Source organism: Homo sapiens, chromosome 15, assembly GCF_000001405.40.
Source record: "Homo sapiens chromosome 15, GRCh38.p14 Primary Assembly".
NCBI classification, from domain to species: Eukaryota; Metazoa; Chordata; class Mammalia; order Primates; family Hominidae; genus Homo; species Homo sapiens.
Genome location: NC_000015.10, coordinates 94189540 through 94207173, shown reverse-complemented (window position 1 = coordinate 94207173; position 17634 = coordinate 94189540). Strand labels below are relative to the sequence as shown.

Sequence of the window (17634 nt, the reverse complement as noted above, 5' to 3'; positions counted from 1 at the left end):
CCACATTGCATTTAGTTTGCATGGCTCCCCAGGCTCCTCTGCTCTGCGACAGTTTATCTGTCTTCCTTATTGTTCATTACCTTAACAGTATTGAGAAGTACCGCCCAGGAATACTGTAGAACACCTCCCCATGTGGGCTGGTCTGTCATTTTTCTTATGATTAGACTGGAGTCTACGTTTTTGGAAGAGTATCACATAGGTGAAGTGCCTTCATTGTCGCGTCATATTGTGGGGAGGCGCTATGTGATATCCACATGACATCAGTGGTCATGTTAACCTTCATCACACTATAATTTCTCAGAATTTTTAAGAGTAATTTTGGCTCTTGTTTGGTTGTTTCATCAGAAGTATGGAGATGAGAAGTTTAGAAGGTGGGTATCGTTCTCTGCTCTGCTGACAGTCTCTACTGTTCATGAGTCAGTGCCTTGGCTTTCTCTACTGTCAACGTCCTTCTCCAAACAGGAAAGGACAAGAAAAACCACCAACCCTGTTAAGTGGTGTGTGGTTTATTCCTGCACAAGCCAGAGCAGGAGGAACATGCTGGCTTCCAGTAATTCACGAAGAAGTTCTGCTAAGTCATTACTCGCCCCTCCTGTAGCAAACCCTGTAAAGCATAAGAGCATTTCCTGGGCAAATAATACATGGCCCCTTTGCAATCATGTAAAGTGCCTGTATAAGTTTTGAAATTAAGGAGACCCTGCTCGGTCTCAGAGAGATTCAGTCTCTCCCAGCCTTTCAGACTCTTCTAGTGGTCATTGGTAGGTTTAGCAGAAGTCTCTGTTGCCCTCTTTTTCTTTTTCTCTTCTTTTCTTTCTTTTTTTTTTTTTTTTTTGAGACGGAGTCTCGCTCTGTCACCCAGGCTGGAGTGCAGTGGCGGGATCTCGGCTCACTGCAAGCTCCGCCTCCCCAGTTCACGCCATTCTCCTGCCTCAGCCTCCCGAGTAGCTGGGACTACAGGCGCCCGCCACCACGCCTGGCTAGTTTTTTGTATTTTTAGTAGAGATGGGGTTTCACCGTGTTAGCCAGGATGGTCTCGATCTCCTGACCTTGTGATCCGCCCGCCTTGGCCTCCCAAAGTGCTGGGATTACAGGCGTGAGCCACCGCGCCCGGCCTCTGCTGCTCTCTTTTTGAGAATAAAAGGGTCACACCTCAGACTCTCTTCCGTGGATTCAGGTGGTGAAAGTGTTTTCTAAAATACATGTATAATGGACTAAAAATGGCAATCTCTTTCTTTTTAAGTTCTTTTTTTCTCTTCGCTTACACAGTCTGTACATAGGCAGTTTTTCTTTATAGAGATGCCAGATTTTAAGGGGAAAAAAACCGCTGCATGCATCGATCTTTTCGTATAAAACAAAACTCATTTTTAGATTAGTTTGGGAAGGGATCAAGAACAAAGGAAAATGAAAACAATTATTTATTTGTTTATTTTCTTGGAGGCTTAAAATGGGCCACGCCTACTTTCTTTTTGGAAAAATACTACAGGAAGCCGACTGTCCCGTGTTAAAGGAATATGCTCGAACAAATAAAGTGAGTTTGGCAACAGGCTGGCTGTCTCTTACACCAGCTTCTCCCAGCCTGAAGCTCAGGGGAAAGAGGGGCCCGCGTGTATGCAAATTGCAGGGATTTGTGGTAGGAATTACTTCACTGAATGACGCATTTCCCAGTGGTATCTATAGATGGGCTTTTATTGTGTTTGAGGTTTTAAGTGAAGAGTGGGAAGATTTGCACAGATAGAACCATTTAACTCAATCTAAACATAAAAAAAAATAGCCAGCCTATTAACTGGTTGAATTCAGTTTCAGTTAGACTAATTTAGAGGGAATTGTCAAAGAACTATTTTACAGACCATTGTAAACGTTAAAATCAATATCGATTCAAGTGCATTGAAGAGACAGACTCCCATTTAAATATGTTGTTATTAGAAAGGGATCCTCCACTTGTATTTGTTGTAACTCTTACTTTTAAAAAATTGAGTTATAGTTGACATAATTAAGTGTATGTATGTATATACGTATATATGTGTCCAATTTAATAAGTTTGACATATTTCTGTACCAATGAAACCATCACTCCGATTAAGGAGGGGATTACAAAAAGGCGTATGAAAGTTTTTCAGAATGATAAATATGTCTTGATTGTAGCGATGTTTGTTATTTACATTCCAAATTTTAGGAGTTTTCAAGAGATCATTCTGGTTTTGAATTCTAATTTAAGTCTCAATTTACCAAAGACACACTGCACAATATGAATAATTTAAAATTTATTGACGGTTGTTTTCTTTCTCAGATTATGGTCTGTCTTTGTAAATGTTCCGTGTATGGTACAAAAAATGTATATTCTGGTGTTTGGAGACGGGTTATTCTATAATGTCAAAAAAGTCAAGTTTGTTTATAGATTTGTTCAGTTTTCCTATATCCTAGGAAAGTCATAAAGTCTACTTATTCTATTTTATATTTCTCCCAAAATAGTTGGGATATATTATTGGGAAATATATATAATAAAATAAAAATAATAAATAATAAAAATAATTGGGATATATTATTGGTAAATATATTATATTTCTCCCAATTATTTTGGGAGAAATATAAAACTCTCTATTTTTGTGATTTTGTCTTTTTCCTTACAGTTCTAGCAGATTTTGTTTTATAAATTTTGAAGTTATTTTATGCAGAACATACACATTTCAGATTCTTTTGTCCTCCTGACTAGTTGACATTTTTATTATCAGGAAATTAACTTATTTATCACTAGTAATATTCTTTGTTTGAGATCTACTTTGTAGGATATTAATATAGCTATTACAATTATTTTTAGTGATAGCATGGTATATCTCTTTCATCCTTTTATTTATTTTTTAAAAAGACTTCATTTTTAAAGAGCAGTTTTAGGTTCACAGTAAAACTGAGAAAAATGTACAGAGGATTTTTGTGTAGACCTTGCCTCCACACATGCATAGACCCCCACAATATCTACATCCTCCACAAGAGTGGCATATGTGTTACAACTGATGAGCCTACATTGTTGCATCACTATCATTCAAAGTCCATAGTTTACATTAGGATTTAGTCTTGGAGCTATACATTCTATGGATTTGGACAAATGTATAATGCATACAGTTAGAGTATCACACAGAGTAGTTTCAGTGCCCTAAAAATCCTCTATGCTCTACCTCTTCATCTCTCCCTCTTCCCTATTTCCAGGAAACTACAATCCTTTTACTGTTTCCATGGTTTTGCTTTTTCCAGAATGTCATATAGTTGGAATTATACAGCATGTAGCTTCTTCAGATTTTCATTTCTGTGGTGACATATGACATGGAACATACTTTCATATGCTTATTTACCATCTGTATTTCTTATTTGGTGAGCTGTCTGTGAAGGTCTTTGATCCATATTTTAATCAGGTATTTGTTGTCGTATTATTGAGTTTTAAGAGTTCTTTGCATATTTTGGATTACTTGTGAGAAACACACTCACCCATCCAAACCCAAAGAATGGACTTAGAGGCACAAAGAACAGCAAACGGTCTTGCAAGATCAGGTGTCTGATAGGCAGGCACATCCTGGGCAGTCACAACAGGTAATTTATCTCCTAGCATGCAAGTCCCTCCCCCAGTTCCTTATTGGTCAAGTACTATGGGGTTACAATCTTCCCAGACGTCACCTAAGTTTTATTATTTCCCTTATAAGGTTATATGCCATCCCAGTCCCCGCTTAAGTTTTGATTTCCCAATAATGAAACTTTCTTCCCTTTTATGGGCTGACCCCTCCTCTACATTCTATTCACTTACTGTGACCTTCTAGGTTCATGAGCCATGCAATTTGTTACATTTGCAGGCTGGCTGCCAGTACTTAGACTTATCATGCCTTGAAAGTGGACCATTTAAAATGTTTTCTCACATTACTGTCCTTTAACCAGATTTGTCTTTTGCAAATATTTTACCCCAGTCTGTGGCTTACCTTTTCATTCTCTTGTCAATGTCTTTTGCAGAGCCGAAATCTTTACTTTTAATAAAATTCGGCTTAACAACTTTTTGTCGTGGATTGTGTCTTTGACATCGTACCTAAAAAGTTTTCTCTGAACCAAAGGTAATTTTCATTTTCTCCTACGTTGTCATCGAGGTGTTTTATAATTTTGCATTCTGCATTTAGGTCTGTGGATTACTTTGAGTTAATTTTTGTTAAGGGTATTAGGTCTGCATCTCAATTTGGGGGTTTTTGTCTGTTCATTTTGGTTTGTTTTTTTGTTTCTGTGCATTTGGATGTCCAGTTGTTCTGGTGCCACTTGTTGAAAGAAACGATCTTTGCTTATTGGATTATTGTTCCTTTGTCAATCATCAGTGGGTTATATTTATGTGAGTCTATTTCTGGCCTCTCTCTTCTGTTCAATGGATCTATTTTTCTATTCTTTCACAATACCACACTGTCTTAATTACTCTAGCTTTAAAGTAAGTCTTGAAGTCAGGTAGTGTCAGTCCTCTAAGTTTGTTCTTCTCCTTCAGTATTATGTTGAATATTCTGGGTCTTTTGCCCATACTTTTTATATTTTTGTGTCTTTATAAAGTTTTTTTTTTAGGCAGCATGTAGGTAGCTCCTGCATTTTTATCCAACTTTACATTTTAATTTTTAATTGGTGTCTCTGACAATTTATATTTAATGTGATTATTGGTTTTATTAGGTTTCAATATATCATCTTTCTACTTATTTCCTATTTGTCCTCTCTGTTCCTTGTTTCCGTTTCTTCTTTTTGTAACTTCTTTGGAATTAGTTGAGTGTGTGTGTATGTGTGTGTGTGTGTGTATATATATATATTTTTTGAGATGGGGTCTCGCTCTGTCACCCAGGCTGGAGTGCAGTGGCGCGATCTTGGCGCACTGCAACCTCTGCCTCCTGGGTTCAAGCAATTCTCCTGCCTCAGCGTCCCGAGTAGCTGGGACTACATGCGCCCGCCACCATGCCCAGCTAATTTTTATATTTTTAGTAGAGACAGGGTTAAACCATATTGGCCAGGCTGGTCTCGAACTCCTGACCTTGTGATCCGTCCACCTCAGCCTCCCAAAGTGCTGGGATTACAGACGTGAGCCACTGCTCTCAGCCGAGTATATTTTTTTTATGATTCCATTTTGTCTTCTTTTAGATTAATTAGCTATACTCTTTGTTTTATTTTAGTCTTTTTCTAGAATGTGTCTTGAACTTATCACAGCCTACCTTCAAGTGATATTATACCACTTTATGTAAGTATAGAAGCTTTGTAATAATTTTCTATTTCTCATCTCCTGATTTTTGTGCTATTGTTCTGTATTTTACTTAAGAATAAAACTGAACAAAGGTAAAGGAAGGAAGAAAGGAAGAAAATAAAGGAAGGAAGCAAGAGAAGAGGCCGGGCGCGGTGGCTCACGCCTGTAATCCCAGCACTTTGGGAGGCCGAGGCGGGTGGATCATGAGGTCAGGAGATCGAGACCATCCTGGCTAACAAGGTGAAACCCCGTCTCTACTAAAAATACAAAAAATTAGCCGGGCGCGGTGGCAGGCGCCTGTAGTCCCAGCTACTCGGGAGGCTGAGGCAGGAGAATGGCGTGAACCCGGGAAGCGGAGCTTGCAGTGAGCCGAGATTGCGCCACTGCAGTCCGCAGTCCGACCTGGGCGACAGAGCGAGACTCCGTCTCAAAAAAAAAAAAAAAAAAAAAAAAAAAAAAGAGAAGAAAGAGAGACAAAACAGAATAGAACTGTAATTCCTTATCTGCAATTCAGAAATACAACAAGCTCTGAAAAAAACATAAGAATTTGATGACACAGTTTACAGGGATAATTGACACAATCTGAGTTAGTTTGGTGGCAAAGCCTGAACTAACATGCCATGAGGCAAGTTCTAGTCTTCATTTATACCTCTCCGTATAATTATTCATATATTTTTCTATAGAAAGTTGTGTCAAAAATTAACCTAACAGGCCTGAAACTGCTACTGTTAGAAAGCCCTGCTTACATGATTGGCCCTCGACTGGCATCTGGGAACTTAGATTTTAGGAGGGTCCCTACCATTCCTTAAGATATAAGAGGGACTCACTGTCCCTAAACAGTTTATACAATGTGGTTTATGCTGAAAACTTGTTTTTCTTCTGGGAGTCTGGAGTTTTGGTAAATGCTAGGCAGAGTGTATTTATGTGCCTAGTCCCCAATAAAAACACAGAGTACTGAGTCCCTAATGACCTTCTCTGGCGGACAACACTTCACATGGCTTGCAACAACTTGTTGCCAGAGAAATTAAGCGCATCCTGCGTGACTCCTCGGGGACAGGGCTCCTGGAATCTTATTGCTAGTTTCCTCTGGATTTCACTGTGTTAACCTGTTTCCCTTTGCTGATTTTTCATTGTATCCTTTTGTGGTAATAAATCATAGCAAGGAATATGAATATATGCTGAGTCTCATGGGTCTTCCTAACAAATCACCAGATCTGGAAGTGGTCTTGGGGACCCTGGACACAAAACTGAATATAACTGATTATAGGCTATTGCTCCAAAACATGCTGGGATTGCTGTGTAGCATGTGCTACACAGCACATTTGTATGTCTTCTCTAAAATCCCCAAATTCTGAATTTCAAAACACATCTAACCTGTGATTTTCGATAAAGGAACGTGGAACCATGTTTACAAACCAATAGGCGATAGAATATGAATTGTTTGCAGAAATAAGGAGTGGAGGGTTTTCACTGATTACTGATCCTTTCCAGGTAGGATAAAGGATGATACCTTAGACCAGGATGATGGCAATAAAGATGATAGTAGCAGTAATAATAATAATAATAATAGTCATAATAATAGTTAACATTTCTTCACTTCTCATGCTCAGCACCAGGAATTATTTACAACCTCCACCATAATTCTTTGAAGTAAATATTAGTTTTCATTTTTTATTGAAAATAAACTGAGGCTCAGAGAAGTTTTGCAACTTGACCAACATCAAGAAGTTCACAGGAGTTGGAGACCAGATTCAAACTCAAGTTCATATAGCTAAAGGATTGAGCCCTGTGCAATGCTACAAGAAGTGACTGCTCTGCACATTGCTCATTTTTCTATTTTCTATCATCAGCTCTGTCTCCATTGTGCACAGATTCACTCTGGGATTTTCACTAGTCTGTGCCTCAGACTTATTTACAGAATATCATACAGAACTGTCTGCTTCTCTCAGTTAGCGCTGCTGGTTGGCAGAAGAAAAGGTTCTTTTGTGTTCCTTCCGTGAGCTTTTGTTCCTTTACCATTTAATCTGCACCACATATTGATTTTCTTTCATGCAGTGATCTTGTATTAAATACTTTTCTGAGTGCAGATAAAGGCGAACTTTATTAGTCTCACTCTATAGTAGAAGAAACCCAGTCACAGAGGAAAGGAAAAAATATAAGGAAGTCAGGATGGAATCTAGAACTTGGATCTCAACAAAGACAAAGACTAGGCAGGCCGAAGAGGTGGGTCTGACATTTGATTTATCTGCATGTAGCATGTACTGAATGTCTCAGGCTCAAAGCTCTCTGAGAAAGCAATACTTGGATGGTCATTTGCAGCCAGTAGCAAAACATGACACAGGACATAAAGGGTAAGGCTCACAGAAGGAAGAACACTCAACCAAGAGTCAAGGGGTCTAGGTCCCACCAATGTACTTCTGCTTCCTTATGGTGCAACATTGAGCACATTGCTTAGCTTTACTGAGCCTCAGTCACCACTGAAAATAAAACAGGATTGTTCAAAATTACCCCCAAACTTCCCTTTAACTCAAAATTATCTGATCATTCAAAATAAATTTTCTGAGACAAAATAGGTGTCACAAGAGGCATCTGAAGAAAAGAAGAACTATCCTGTCAGTGAAATATTTACCTAAAGAACTATTTCAGGAGTAAGTCAGTATCTATAGTAGGATTCTTAAGGGCTTCCCTCACCCCATATCCTAAGGCTTGTGTTTACCTTAAAATGTCCTCTCATCTGTATGAGGTTTCAGAGGTTTTGAGAGAACAGTGTCAGAGTCGTAGTGTTCTAGGGTCCAGCACGTTCTATGTGAATGAATTTAATTTTATCTTTATTTTTTGGTCAATAAATAGTTTTGCCCTTCATATGGAGAAATGGGATAATATTTCAACATTTAATATTACATAATACTTTTTGTCTTATGACGGTACTGGGGATTATCCCAAAAGACACATGAGGAAATATAGTATAGCTAAGAAAGCTGTGGACTTAGCCAAAAAAAAAAAAAAAAAAAAAAAAAAAAAGAGGCTGACTCGGATGCTCACACCATTGACTATGTGACATCAGGTGGTAACTTACCTCTCTGGGTGACTGTGCTCCTAAGTGAAGTCAGAGTACAAGGGCCAGTTCTGCCTTTCTCAGTGAGCTACTGAGTTGAATGAAATAGTATGCTACCTGGAACTCACATGTAAGTGTAGCCCACTGGGTGGGTCCCAGGAGATTAAATGTACATGTCTTCCATCAAATGCTGCTCAAAAAAAACTTGTGAGGACAGGAATTATCACCCCATTCATGTCTCTGCCCAGCAGGTTACACGTTTTAGTTTGATCACCAAACTGGAAGCACAAGTCCAGAATAATCAGCCAAGTCATGATTCCAGGAGTTATTAATAAGTTGATGTTAATAATAGCAGGTTAAATGTACTGAATGTTTACGATGAACACTCTGATGCTTAGTATTTTTGCTATGTTAAGTCTTTTAACCTATTATAGTAACCTGTGAAGTAAATACTACTATTATCTGCATTGAACAGATGTTCAATTGTAGGGTACCCAAGATCTAATTCTAGAGTATATTTTGACATAAAACAGGTAGCCAGTATCATAGCAGAAACAGATAGGGAAAGCAGTCATCTTTGGAAATATGTAGCAAACTTGACACTTAAAGAAAAATTTCAAGCATTGACAGTTTCTACAGCTCTACAAACTGTCCTAATATTAAACAGCTAAATCCCAGGGCAAAGAGAACATAGACAAAAAGGAGAATTTTAGATAGGATGCTAATTTTAGACAGCAGCTATTCTCTTGGTCTTTCTTGTTAAAAGTTATTATTATCTTCTCATTTAGGAGTAAATGCATATCCATATCAGAACTTCACTATATAAAACCATTTTGTGGCTGTCAATGATGTAACAAAATATGTACGGGTCTTAGTGCAGAATGTGGGTTTCGTCGCATTGGTGAATCTTTTAGCTATCTTTGCACAGCTCCTCTTCAAGATCTTCAGCTAAGGTATAGATCAGATGTTGCAAACTTTTTTATAAGGGGGCAGATAGTAAATATGTTCAACTTTCCAGGTCATAGCCTCTCTCACAACTACTCAATCTGCCAGGATAATAAGAAATCACCCATAAGCACTATATGTAAATTGGCATAGCTGTGTTGCAACAACATTTTATTTGCAAAAATAGTCAATAGGTCATTTGCTTACCTCTATTATATGCCTGGGTATTTTTATTAGGTAATGTGCAACTCATCTCTTTTTATCTAGGACTTTGTCAGGTTTAGCACTTGAAAGGCCTATGTCCCTGAACTCCCTCATTCCAAACTGGGAAGATGGTTTATCATAGACTATTAGGTGGGTTTTATTTGTAATTTCCAATAGTCTTGAAACATAGAGCACACCAAGCATGATAAGAATCACCCACTCTCCACTAAAATTGCCTTGGCTAAACTTTTATCTGTCAGCATAAAGTTATACATGACAAATACATTCTGTAAACCCTCAAGTGTTATGCACAAACAAGGCAATGGTGCTAGATCACAATTTTCCTTTTCTACATCTGCTTCCATAGAGGGACCTCTCCCTCCCTCTCACAATTGGCCCTGTCTTTAGATAAAGCTACGAACTGAATGTTGGAAGGTGCCTGAACATCTCACGAGATTAAAGTCAAGTTATAATAGAATTGTCATTCTTGGACTAATTATTACCGTGTTCTAGTGAGCCCCAGAGAGTCCGCTGAATTTCAGTTGATAAACCAAAGAGAGAATATTCAGGGACTGAGGTAGTGCAGCAAAAAGCAACCTCAAACGGAACACTAATTGAATGTTTTCTTGGCAGCTTGAGCTAGCTCCTGTGTGGATTTTCAGAATGAAGTGTTTGGAATTATTGAAACCATCAGCATGTGATTTATCTACTCTCATAAAGGCCCCAGCACAGCCGACCTGCAAAGAATAAGCAGAAGCTCAGGGTACTTAGGATCAGAAAATTGGCACCTACCATTGCTACCCACTGTAGCCTAGGACAAATCCCCGAAGCCTTGAGGACTCCATGTCTTCATCTTCCAAACAGTGATAATACCAAGCACTTCATAAAGTTGTGATGAGAGTGAAAGATGATGGTCCATGGAATTCGAATTTGCCAGAATACATCTTTGTACAAATGCTTTGACTTTCAATGACGCTACAGCCTCTTGTGAGATTGCAAATCCAGGGGACCTAACCCTGTCTTGGTGAGTCATAAAAGGCATCCTAAAAATAACTACTTTTTCTGTTAAAAGTTAAAGGATGATTAATGTTTATTTAAATAAAGGAAAAGGGAAAAAGAGACACAAGTGAGCTTGAAAGAGGGAAAAGCCATTGTGAAGACAGAGCGGTGAAAGAAAGCTAACACAAGAAAAGAACAGAGAGAGAGAGAGAAAAAAGTTCAATGAAGTAAAAGAAATCACATAAACTGGAGGGGAAGGGACCCATGGGGGAGAATGGAGAGAGCCCTGCCCAGATCGTGCAGAAGAGATTTTTTTAAAAATTCTAATTTTAAAGCATATTGGATGTCAAATGTTAATATTTGCTGCTTCTTAGCCACTCAGTATCCATTTACCTTACTTCCAAAAACTGCTTTCAATATTTTTCTGAGATATTGGACTCCTACATCCACATTCATAGACTCTCAGGCCCTGTGCTTCTGATGGCATTGATTCCACCCCTGGCTACAGGGGAGGAGGAGCAGCTTGCACTTTGTTCAGTACTGCCGTTGGATCTGGGCAAGAAGGTCCTGCCCTGCACCCTGTGCCCAGAGGGCCTTGCTTTGCCCTTCTTCCATCATATTCGTCTCCATGGTGTAGAGCGCGCACTGGGCCAAGCTGCTGTGCCCAACTGGAGCCCCTACTTCCTGTTATAGTAAATGTTCTAGATCTAGGTTTCTAGGCTTCCAAAATTACCTACCTAAACATCCTCACTCCTTACAAGCAATGTGGTAGTCTCTTCCCCCTTCTGAAGGCAGATCCTTCAGCTAGCATGCTTATGCTTACACTTGGCTCAGGAGTGGGTAAGAGGTGGTTTTTTGTGGTTGTGTGGACCAAACATGGTTGTACAGGCAGGGGTGTCGACATATGTGCATGTGAGGCCCCTCCTGCTATAGAGTAGAGCCAGGGAAGGAAAGAGAATGAGTCACGCTTTGTGCTACCTTCCTCTGTGATGCTGCATTCCAGAGAAAGACCCCAAATAGTCTGGGAATTCTAAATGCAAAATGTTATTATGATGATATATTGCCAAGGTAAGAGAACAGAACATATTTTACTTAGCAGATAATTTGGTTTATACCATTAAAATATTTCAACATATGGTATATAGGTCTCCATCTATAATCTTGCTCTGGCCCGCGCTAAGAGTCTGGAGTGGGACTAGCCTGGCCATTCAAAGCAGAACATTACACTGGCCATGGTGACAGGTCAAAGTTTGGCCATGGGCTCCAGGCAAAGATAAAGAGAAACACTGAAGGTTTTACTGGTCTCCTCGGCAAGACACTATTCCTCTTACCACTTGGCTTGAAGCTGAGAAGATGAGGGTCCCGGAGTAGCAGCATCCCTCTTGTCACCGTGTGGCATCTCAGAAGGAATCTGAATGATTTATGCAGGAATGGGTTTTGAAAAGTGGAGAAAAAACAAGGCCTAGCCATTGATCTCTTGATTAATTAGTAGTTAAACTCAGATTGATCCTGAACTTTTTCCATTAGGTAATCCAATAAATTTCATGTAAAATGCATCAGTTTGGACTGAGATTTCCATCGCTTCTCTCAATCAATACATAGTAGCAAATAAAAAACATAATAATAGATGATTTTTAATCCACCCCTTTTAATCAAACAATTCCATTTCACCCATTCATTATCTCTTACCTCTATCCAGACATTAATTTACTGAGATATTAATGGTCATGCACAGGAGGTAAGATAGCATAATTATTAGGGAGAAGTCAAATAAACCTTAAAAGCTCATGACTTGGTCACACTGAAGCCAACTGGATGTTCTTGTTTGGGATTTAGATCCCTGAAGAAGTGTCCCTGTCCTACATAGTGACAGTTGAGATATCATTTATGGTGCCATGGTAGCATCAGGCATCCTACAACAATTATGTTGATGTCTATTGATGGTGCTGCTGGCAGAGATATCCTGACCAGATGGTCCCTATAGAGGAAACTACCTGGACTGTATTTCCTTTCGTCTGGTCTCTCTCATCTCAGTTCATTCTCTAAGCTTAGTTCTTCAGCTTCCCATCAATTCTGGGAGTTACTGGGTCTCCTCCTAAGACAGCCTTCCTTAGGCGGAATTGGACTTTATTGTATATAACCAGGCATCCTTCCAGACACAGACATCTACTGTATGGGGTGCAAGAGTGTCTTAAAAGGCCATATACCCTAAGGCGCAGGATAGAGGCTAGATAGCAGCATTGGTCTGGGATTGACTGTTGAGTTTAGTTGGGGCTGAAGATAATTTTAAAATTCTTTATATTAAAGAATAGGATTCTGGAAGCCACATTCAAATAAATATTTTCTGTTGATGAAATGATTACATGACTGCATGTGGTCACCAGAAAAAAAAGTGTCCACTGAGGGTCAGGGTGGAGACCCTGATATCACTAAAATTAAAAAGTTTGTTGGGCATAGGATCTTCAAGGAAGAGAGAGTGAGGCAGCTGCCTTTCATACCGCTGGACAGTATAAACAAAGAAGAAAAGGAGGCTTGCACTTCTGAAGTTTTGATTCATACAGTTTATAACCTTTCGGTATTGACTTTTTTCACAGCATAAAATTTTTAGAAATTCATTCATGTTAAGGCATGTATCTATTGTTTAAAACCTTTTAGTGCTGAGCAGTAGCATTCCATGGTATGGATGTACCACATATGTGTAATCATTTTTCCACTACAGGATATCTGGATTCTTTCCAGTTTGGGGCTATTAGAGTAAAACTGCTATATTTATTTACATACAAATTCTCCGTGAATGTAAATTTTTATTTCCCTATGATAAATGCTTAGGAATACAAATATTGGGTCATATAAGAGTTGCAGAATTTTTTTTTTTTTTTTTTGAGACAGGGTTTCGCTCTTGTTGCCCAGGCTGGAGTGCAGTGGCACAATCTTGGCTCACTGCAACCTCTGCCTCCCAGGTTCAAGCAATTCTCCTGCCTCAGCCTCCTGAGTAGCTGGAATTACCACGCTCGGCTGATTTTGTATTTTTAGTAGAGATGGGGTTTCTCCATGTTGGTCAGGCTGGTCTCGAACTCTTAACCTCAGGTAATCTGCCCGCTTCGGCCTCCCAAAGTGCTGGGATTACAGGCGTGAGTCACTGTGCCGGGCCGCAGATTTTGTTTTTTAAGAAGCCATCAAAAAGTGTTTTCCAGGAGAGCAATATCATTTTACATTTCTAGCAGCAGCTTATGGGCGATCCAGTTTCTCTGCATCCTTACTAGCATGTGGTGTTGATGCTATTATTATTATTACTATTTTACTTTTTTTTTTTTTTTTTTTTTTTGAGACGGAGTCTCACTCTGTGGCCCAGGCTGGAGTGCAGTGATGGGATCTCGGCTCACTGCAAGCTCCAGCTCTCTGCAAGCTCCGCCTCCAGGGTTCACGCCATTCTCCTGCCTCAGCCTCCCAAGTAACTGGGACTACAGGCGCCCGCCACCACGCCCGGCTAATTTTTTGTATTTTTAGTAGAGACAGGGTTTCACCGTGTTAGCCAGGATGGTCTCATCTCCTGACCTCGTGATTCGCCCGCCTCAGCCTCCCAAAGTGCTAGGATTACAGGCGTGAGCCACCGCGCCCGGCCTGATGCTATTTTTTATTTTAGACATTCCATTTGGTGTGTAGTAATATCTCACTGTGGCTTTAATACGCATTTTCTTAATGGCTAATGACATTGTTCAATTACTTTGTCAGCTGTATATCCTTTTCATTGAAATGTCTCTTTATGTTTTTTTGCCCAGTTTCTAGTTGGATTGTTTCTTCATTTTACTGCTGAGCTTTGAGAATTCTTTATATATTCTAGATACTAGCTTTTTGTTCAGATATGTGGTATGCAAATACTTTCTCCCACTCTTTCTCTAAGAGGAATGGGATCTTTTGTAGAGTAAAAATTTTCAATTTCAATGAAGTCCAATTTAAAAAGTTTTCCTTTTATAGAATGTGCTTATGGTGTTAAGCCTACTAATTTTTTGTTTAGGCCTAGATAACAATGATTTTCTTCTCTGTTGTTTTTTAGTAATTTTATATTTTATATTTAAGTCTGTGATCAATTTTGACGTAAGTTTTATGTAACGTGTGAGGTTTAAACCATGTTTTTTTTTTTTTTCCCTTAAGAATGTCCAATTGTTTCATCATGATTTGTTGAACAGGCTGTCCATAAATTTGCTTTTGGACTTTTGTCAGAAATGAATTGAATTTACTTCTAAGTTGTCTATTTTGTTTATTTAATCTACATGTCAGTCCTTTTACTGATGTTATACAGTTTTGTCTCATGTTATATACTAAGTCTTGCATTAGATAGACTGATTTCTCTCACTTTATTCTTCTTTATCAAAATTGCTTTAGCTATTAGTATGTCTCTCCATTTATTTAGGTCTTTCTTTGATTTATTGCATTAGTGTTGTTTTCATTTTTAGTATTCATATCTTGTCCATATTTTGTTAGACTGATACCTAAGAATATCATTTTTAGATACTGTAAATTACACTGTATTTTTAATTTTGGCATTCATATTTTCATTGCTAGTATGTAGAAATACAATTGATTTTCTTATGTTTTTTGTGTACCCTACAACGCTGCTGAACTCATTAGTTTATAAGTTTTTGTAGTTTTTCATCTATTTTTTCTAAATAGATAGTCATGTCATTTTTAAAGAGAGACAGTTTTATTTCTTCCTTTCTGATCTGTATACTTTTCATTTCCTTTTCTTGATTTATTGAGCTGGATAGAACTTTCAGAACAATGTTGAACAAGAGTGTTGCGAGTTGACATCTTTGTTGTGTTCCCATAGTAAGAGAAGAGCATTTAATCTTTTCTCATTAATTATAATGTTAGCTGTAGGTTTTGTGGTAGATGTGCTTTATCAAGGTGAGAAAGTTTCTACTTCTATTTTTGTGAAGTTTTTTTTTTTTAAATCCTGAACAGGTGTTGAATTTTGATAAGTGATTTTTCTGCATGAAATGATATGATTATATAAATTACTTCTTTAGCTTTTTTATATGCTGGATTATATTTATTGTTTTCCATATATTGAGCCAGGCTTGCATCTCTGAAATAAATTCTATTTGGTTACACTATATGGTTCTTTGTATATATTGTTGAATTCTGTATGCTAATATTTGGTTAATGATTTTGCATCTATGTTTATGAGGAACATCAGTCTATAGTTTTCTTTCTTCTCTCCCTCCCTCCTTTTGTCTCCCTCTTCCCCCGCTCCTCTCTTTTGTTTTACATTCTGTTTGTCTGGTTTTGGTTTCAGGGTAATACAAGTTTCGAAAAATGAAGGTGCTTCTATTTTCTGGAAAAGAGTGTAATAGAATCAGAATTCATTTTCCTTGAAATCTTTAGTAAAATTCTCTGGTAAAACAATCTTGACCACAAGAGATTTTTTGGGGGGAAGTTTTAAAATTATGAACTCAACTTTCTTATTATTTATAAGGCTATTCAAATAATCTATCTCATATTAGGTGAGAGGTGGTCATTTCTGTAATTTAAGGAATTAAACAATTTTATCTATGTTATTAAATTTATATGGATAGAGTTGTTCATAGTATTCACAATCCTTTTGTTTTCTGAAGGCATAGTAATGGTATCCTCTGTTTCATTCCTGATATTGGTAATTTGTGTCTTCTGTTTTTTCTTTCTCAGCCTTCCTTAAAGGTTTTTCAATTTTATTGATCTCAAAGAACCAGATATTTGTTTTATTAATTTTCTCTATAATTTTTCTGTTTTCGATTTCATTCATTTCTGCCTTTTATCTTTTTTCCTTTCTTTTCCTTGCTTTGGGTTTAGGTTGATCTTCATTTTCTTTTTTGGTGGTAGTGTTTAGTTTATTAATTTGAGACTTGTTCCTCTTTTCTTGTCTTTGGTCTAAATTGGAAGTTTTTAAAAAACTTTTTGTGGGTACATAGTAGGTGTGTGTGTGTATATATATATATATATATATGGGGCATATGAGATGTTTTGATACAGGCATGCAATGTGAAATAAGCACATCATGGAAAATGGGGTATCCATCCCCTCAAGCATTTATCCTTTGTGTTACAAACAATCCAAACATACTCTTTAAGTTACTTTAAAATACCCAATTAAGTTATTATTGGCTACAGTCACCCTGTTGTTCTATCAAATAGCAGGTCTTATTCATTCTTTCTAACTATTTTTTTTGTACCCATTAACCATCCCCACCTCCTCCCAACCCTCCCACTACCCTTCTCAGCCTCTAATAAACATCCTTCTACTCTCTATGTCCATGAGTTCAATTGATTTAATTTTTAGATTTCCCAAATTAGTGAGAGCATGTGATATTTGTCTTTCTGTGCCTGACTTATTTCACTTAACATAATAATCTCCAGTTCCATCCATGATGTTGCAAACAACTGGATCTCATTCTTTGTTTATGGCTGAATCTCTATTGTGTATATGTACCACATTTTCTTTATCCATTCATCTGTTGATGGACACTTAGATTACTTCCAGATCTTAGCTATTGTAAATAAACAGTGCCACAACAAACATAGGAGTGCAGATATCTCTACAATGTACTGGTTTCCTTTCTTTTCCATATATACCTAGCAGTGGTATTGCTGGATCATATGGTAGCTCAATTTTTAGGTTTTTGAGGAACTTCCATACTGTTCTCTACAGTGGTTGTACTAATTTATGTTCCCATGAACAGTGTACAAGGGTACCCTTTTCTCCACATCTTTGCCAGCATTTGTTATTGCCTGTCTTTTGGATAAAAGTAATTTTAGCTGGGGTGAGATAATATCTCATCGTAGTTTTGATTTGCATTTCTCTGATGCTCAATGATGTTGAGTACCTTTTCATATGCCTGTTTGCCATTTGTATATCTTCTCTTGAGAAATGTCTATTAAAATTTTTGCCTATCTTTTTGATTGGGTTATTAGATTTTTTTCTATAGAGTTCTTTGAGCTCCTTAAATATTCTGGTTATTAATCCCCTGTCAAATATTTTCTCCCATTCTGTGGATTGTCTGTTCACTTTGTTGACTGTATCATTTGCTGCGCAGAAGCTTTTTAATTTGATGTGATCCTATTTGTCAATTTTTGCTTTGGCTGCCCATACTTATAGGGTATTGTTCAAGAAATCTTTGCCCAGACCAATGTCCTGGAGACTTTTCCCAATGTTTTCCTGTA

The 17634-nt window shown here is 37.9% G+C and overlaps 1 long non-coding RNA gene across 1 annotated transcript; it reads left to right on the top strand.

Moving 5' to 3' along the window:
- Positions 1-283: 283 nt before the first annotated feature.
- On the top strand, positions 284-10395 carry LOC105370984 (uncharacterized). Its single transcript, XR_932640.1, has 2 exons — positions 284-371; positions 10073-10395. It is a non-coding gene; the product is annotated as an uncharacterized LOC105370984 (long non-coding RNA).
- The last annotated feature ends 7239 nt before the right edge of the window (positions 10396-17634 follow it).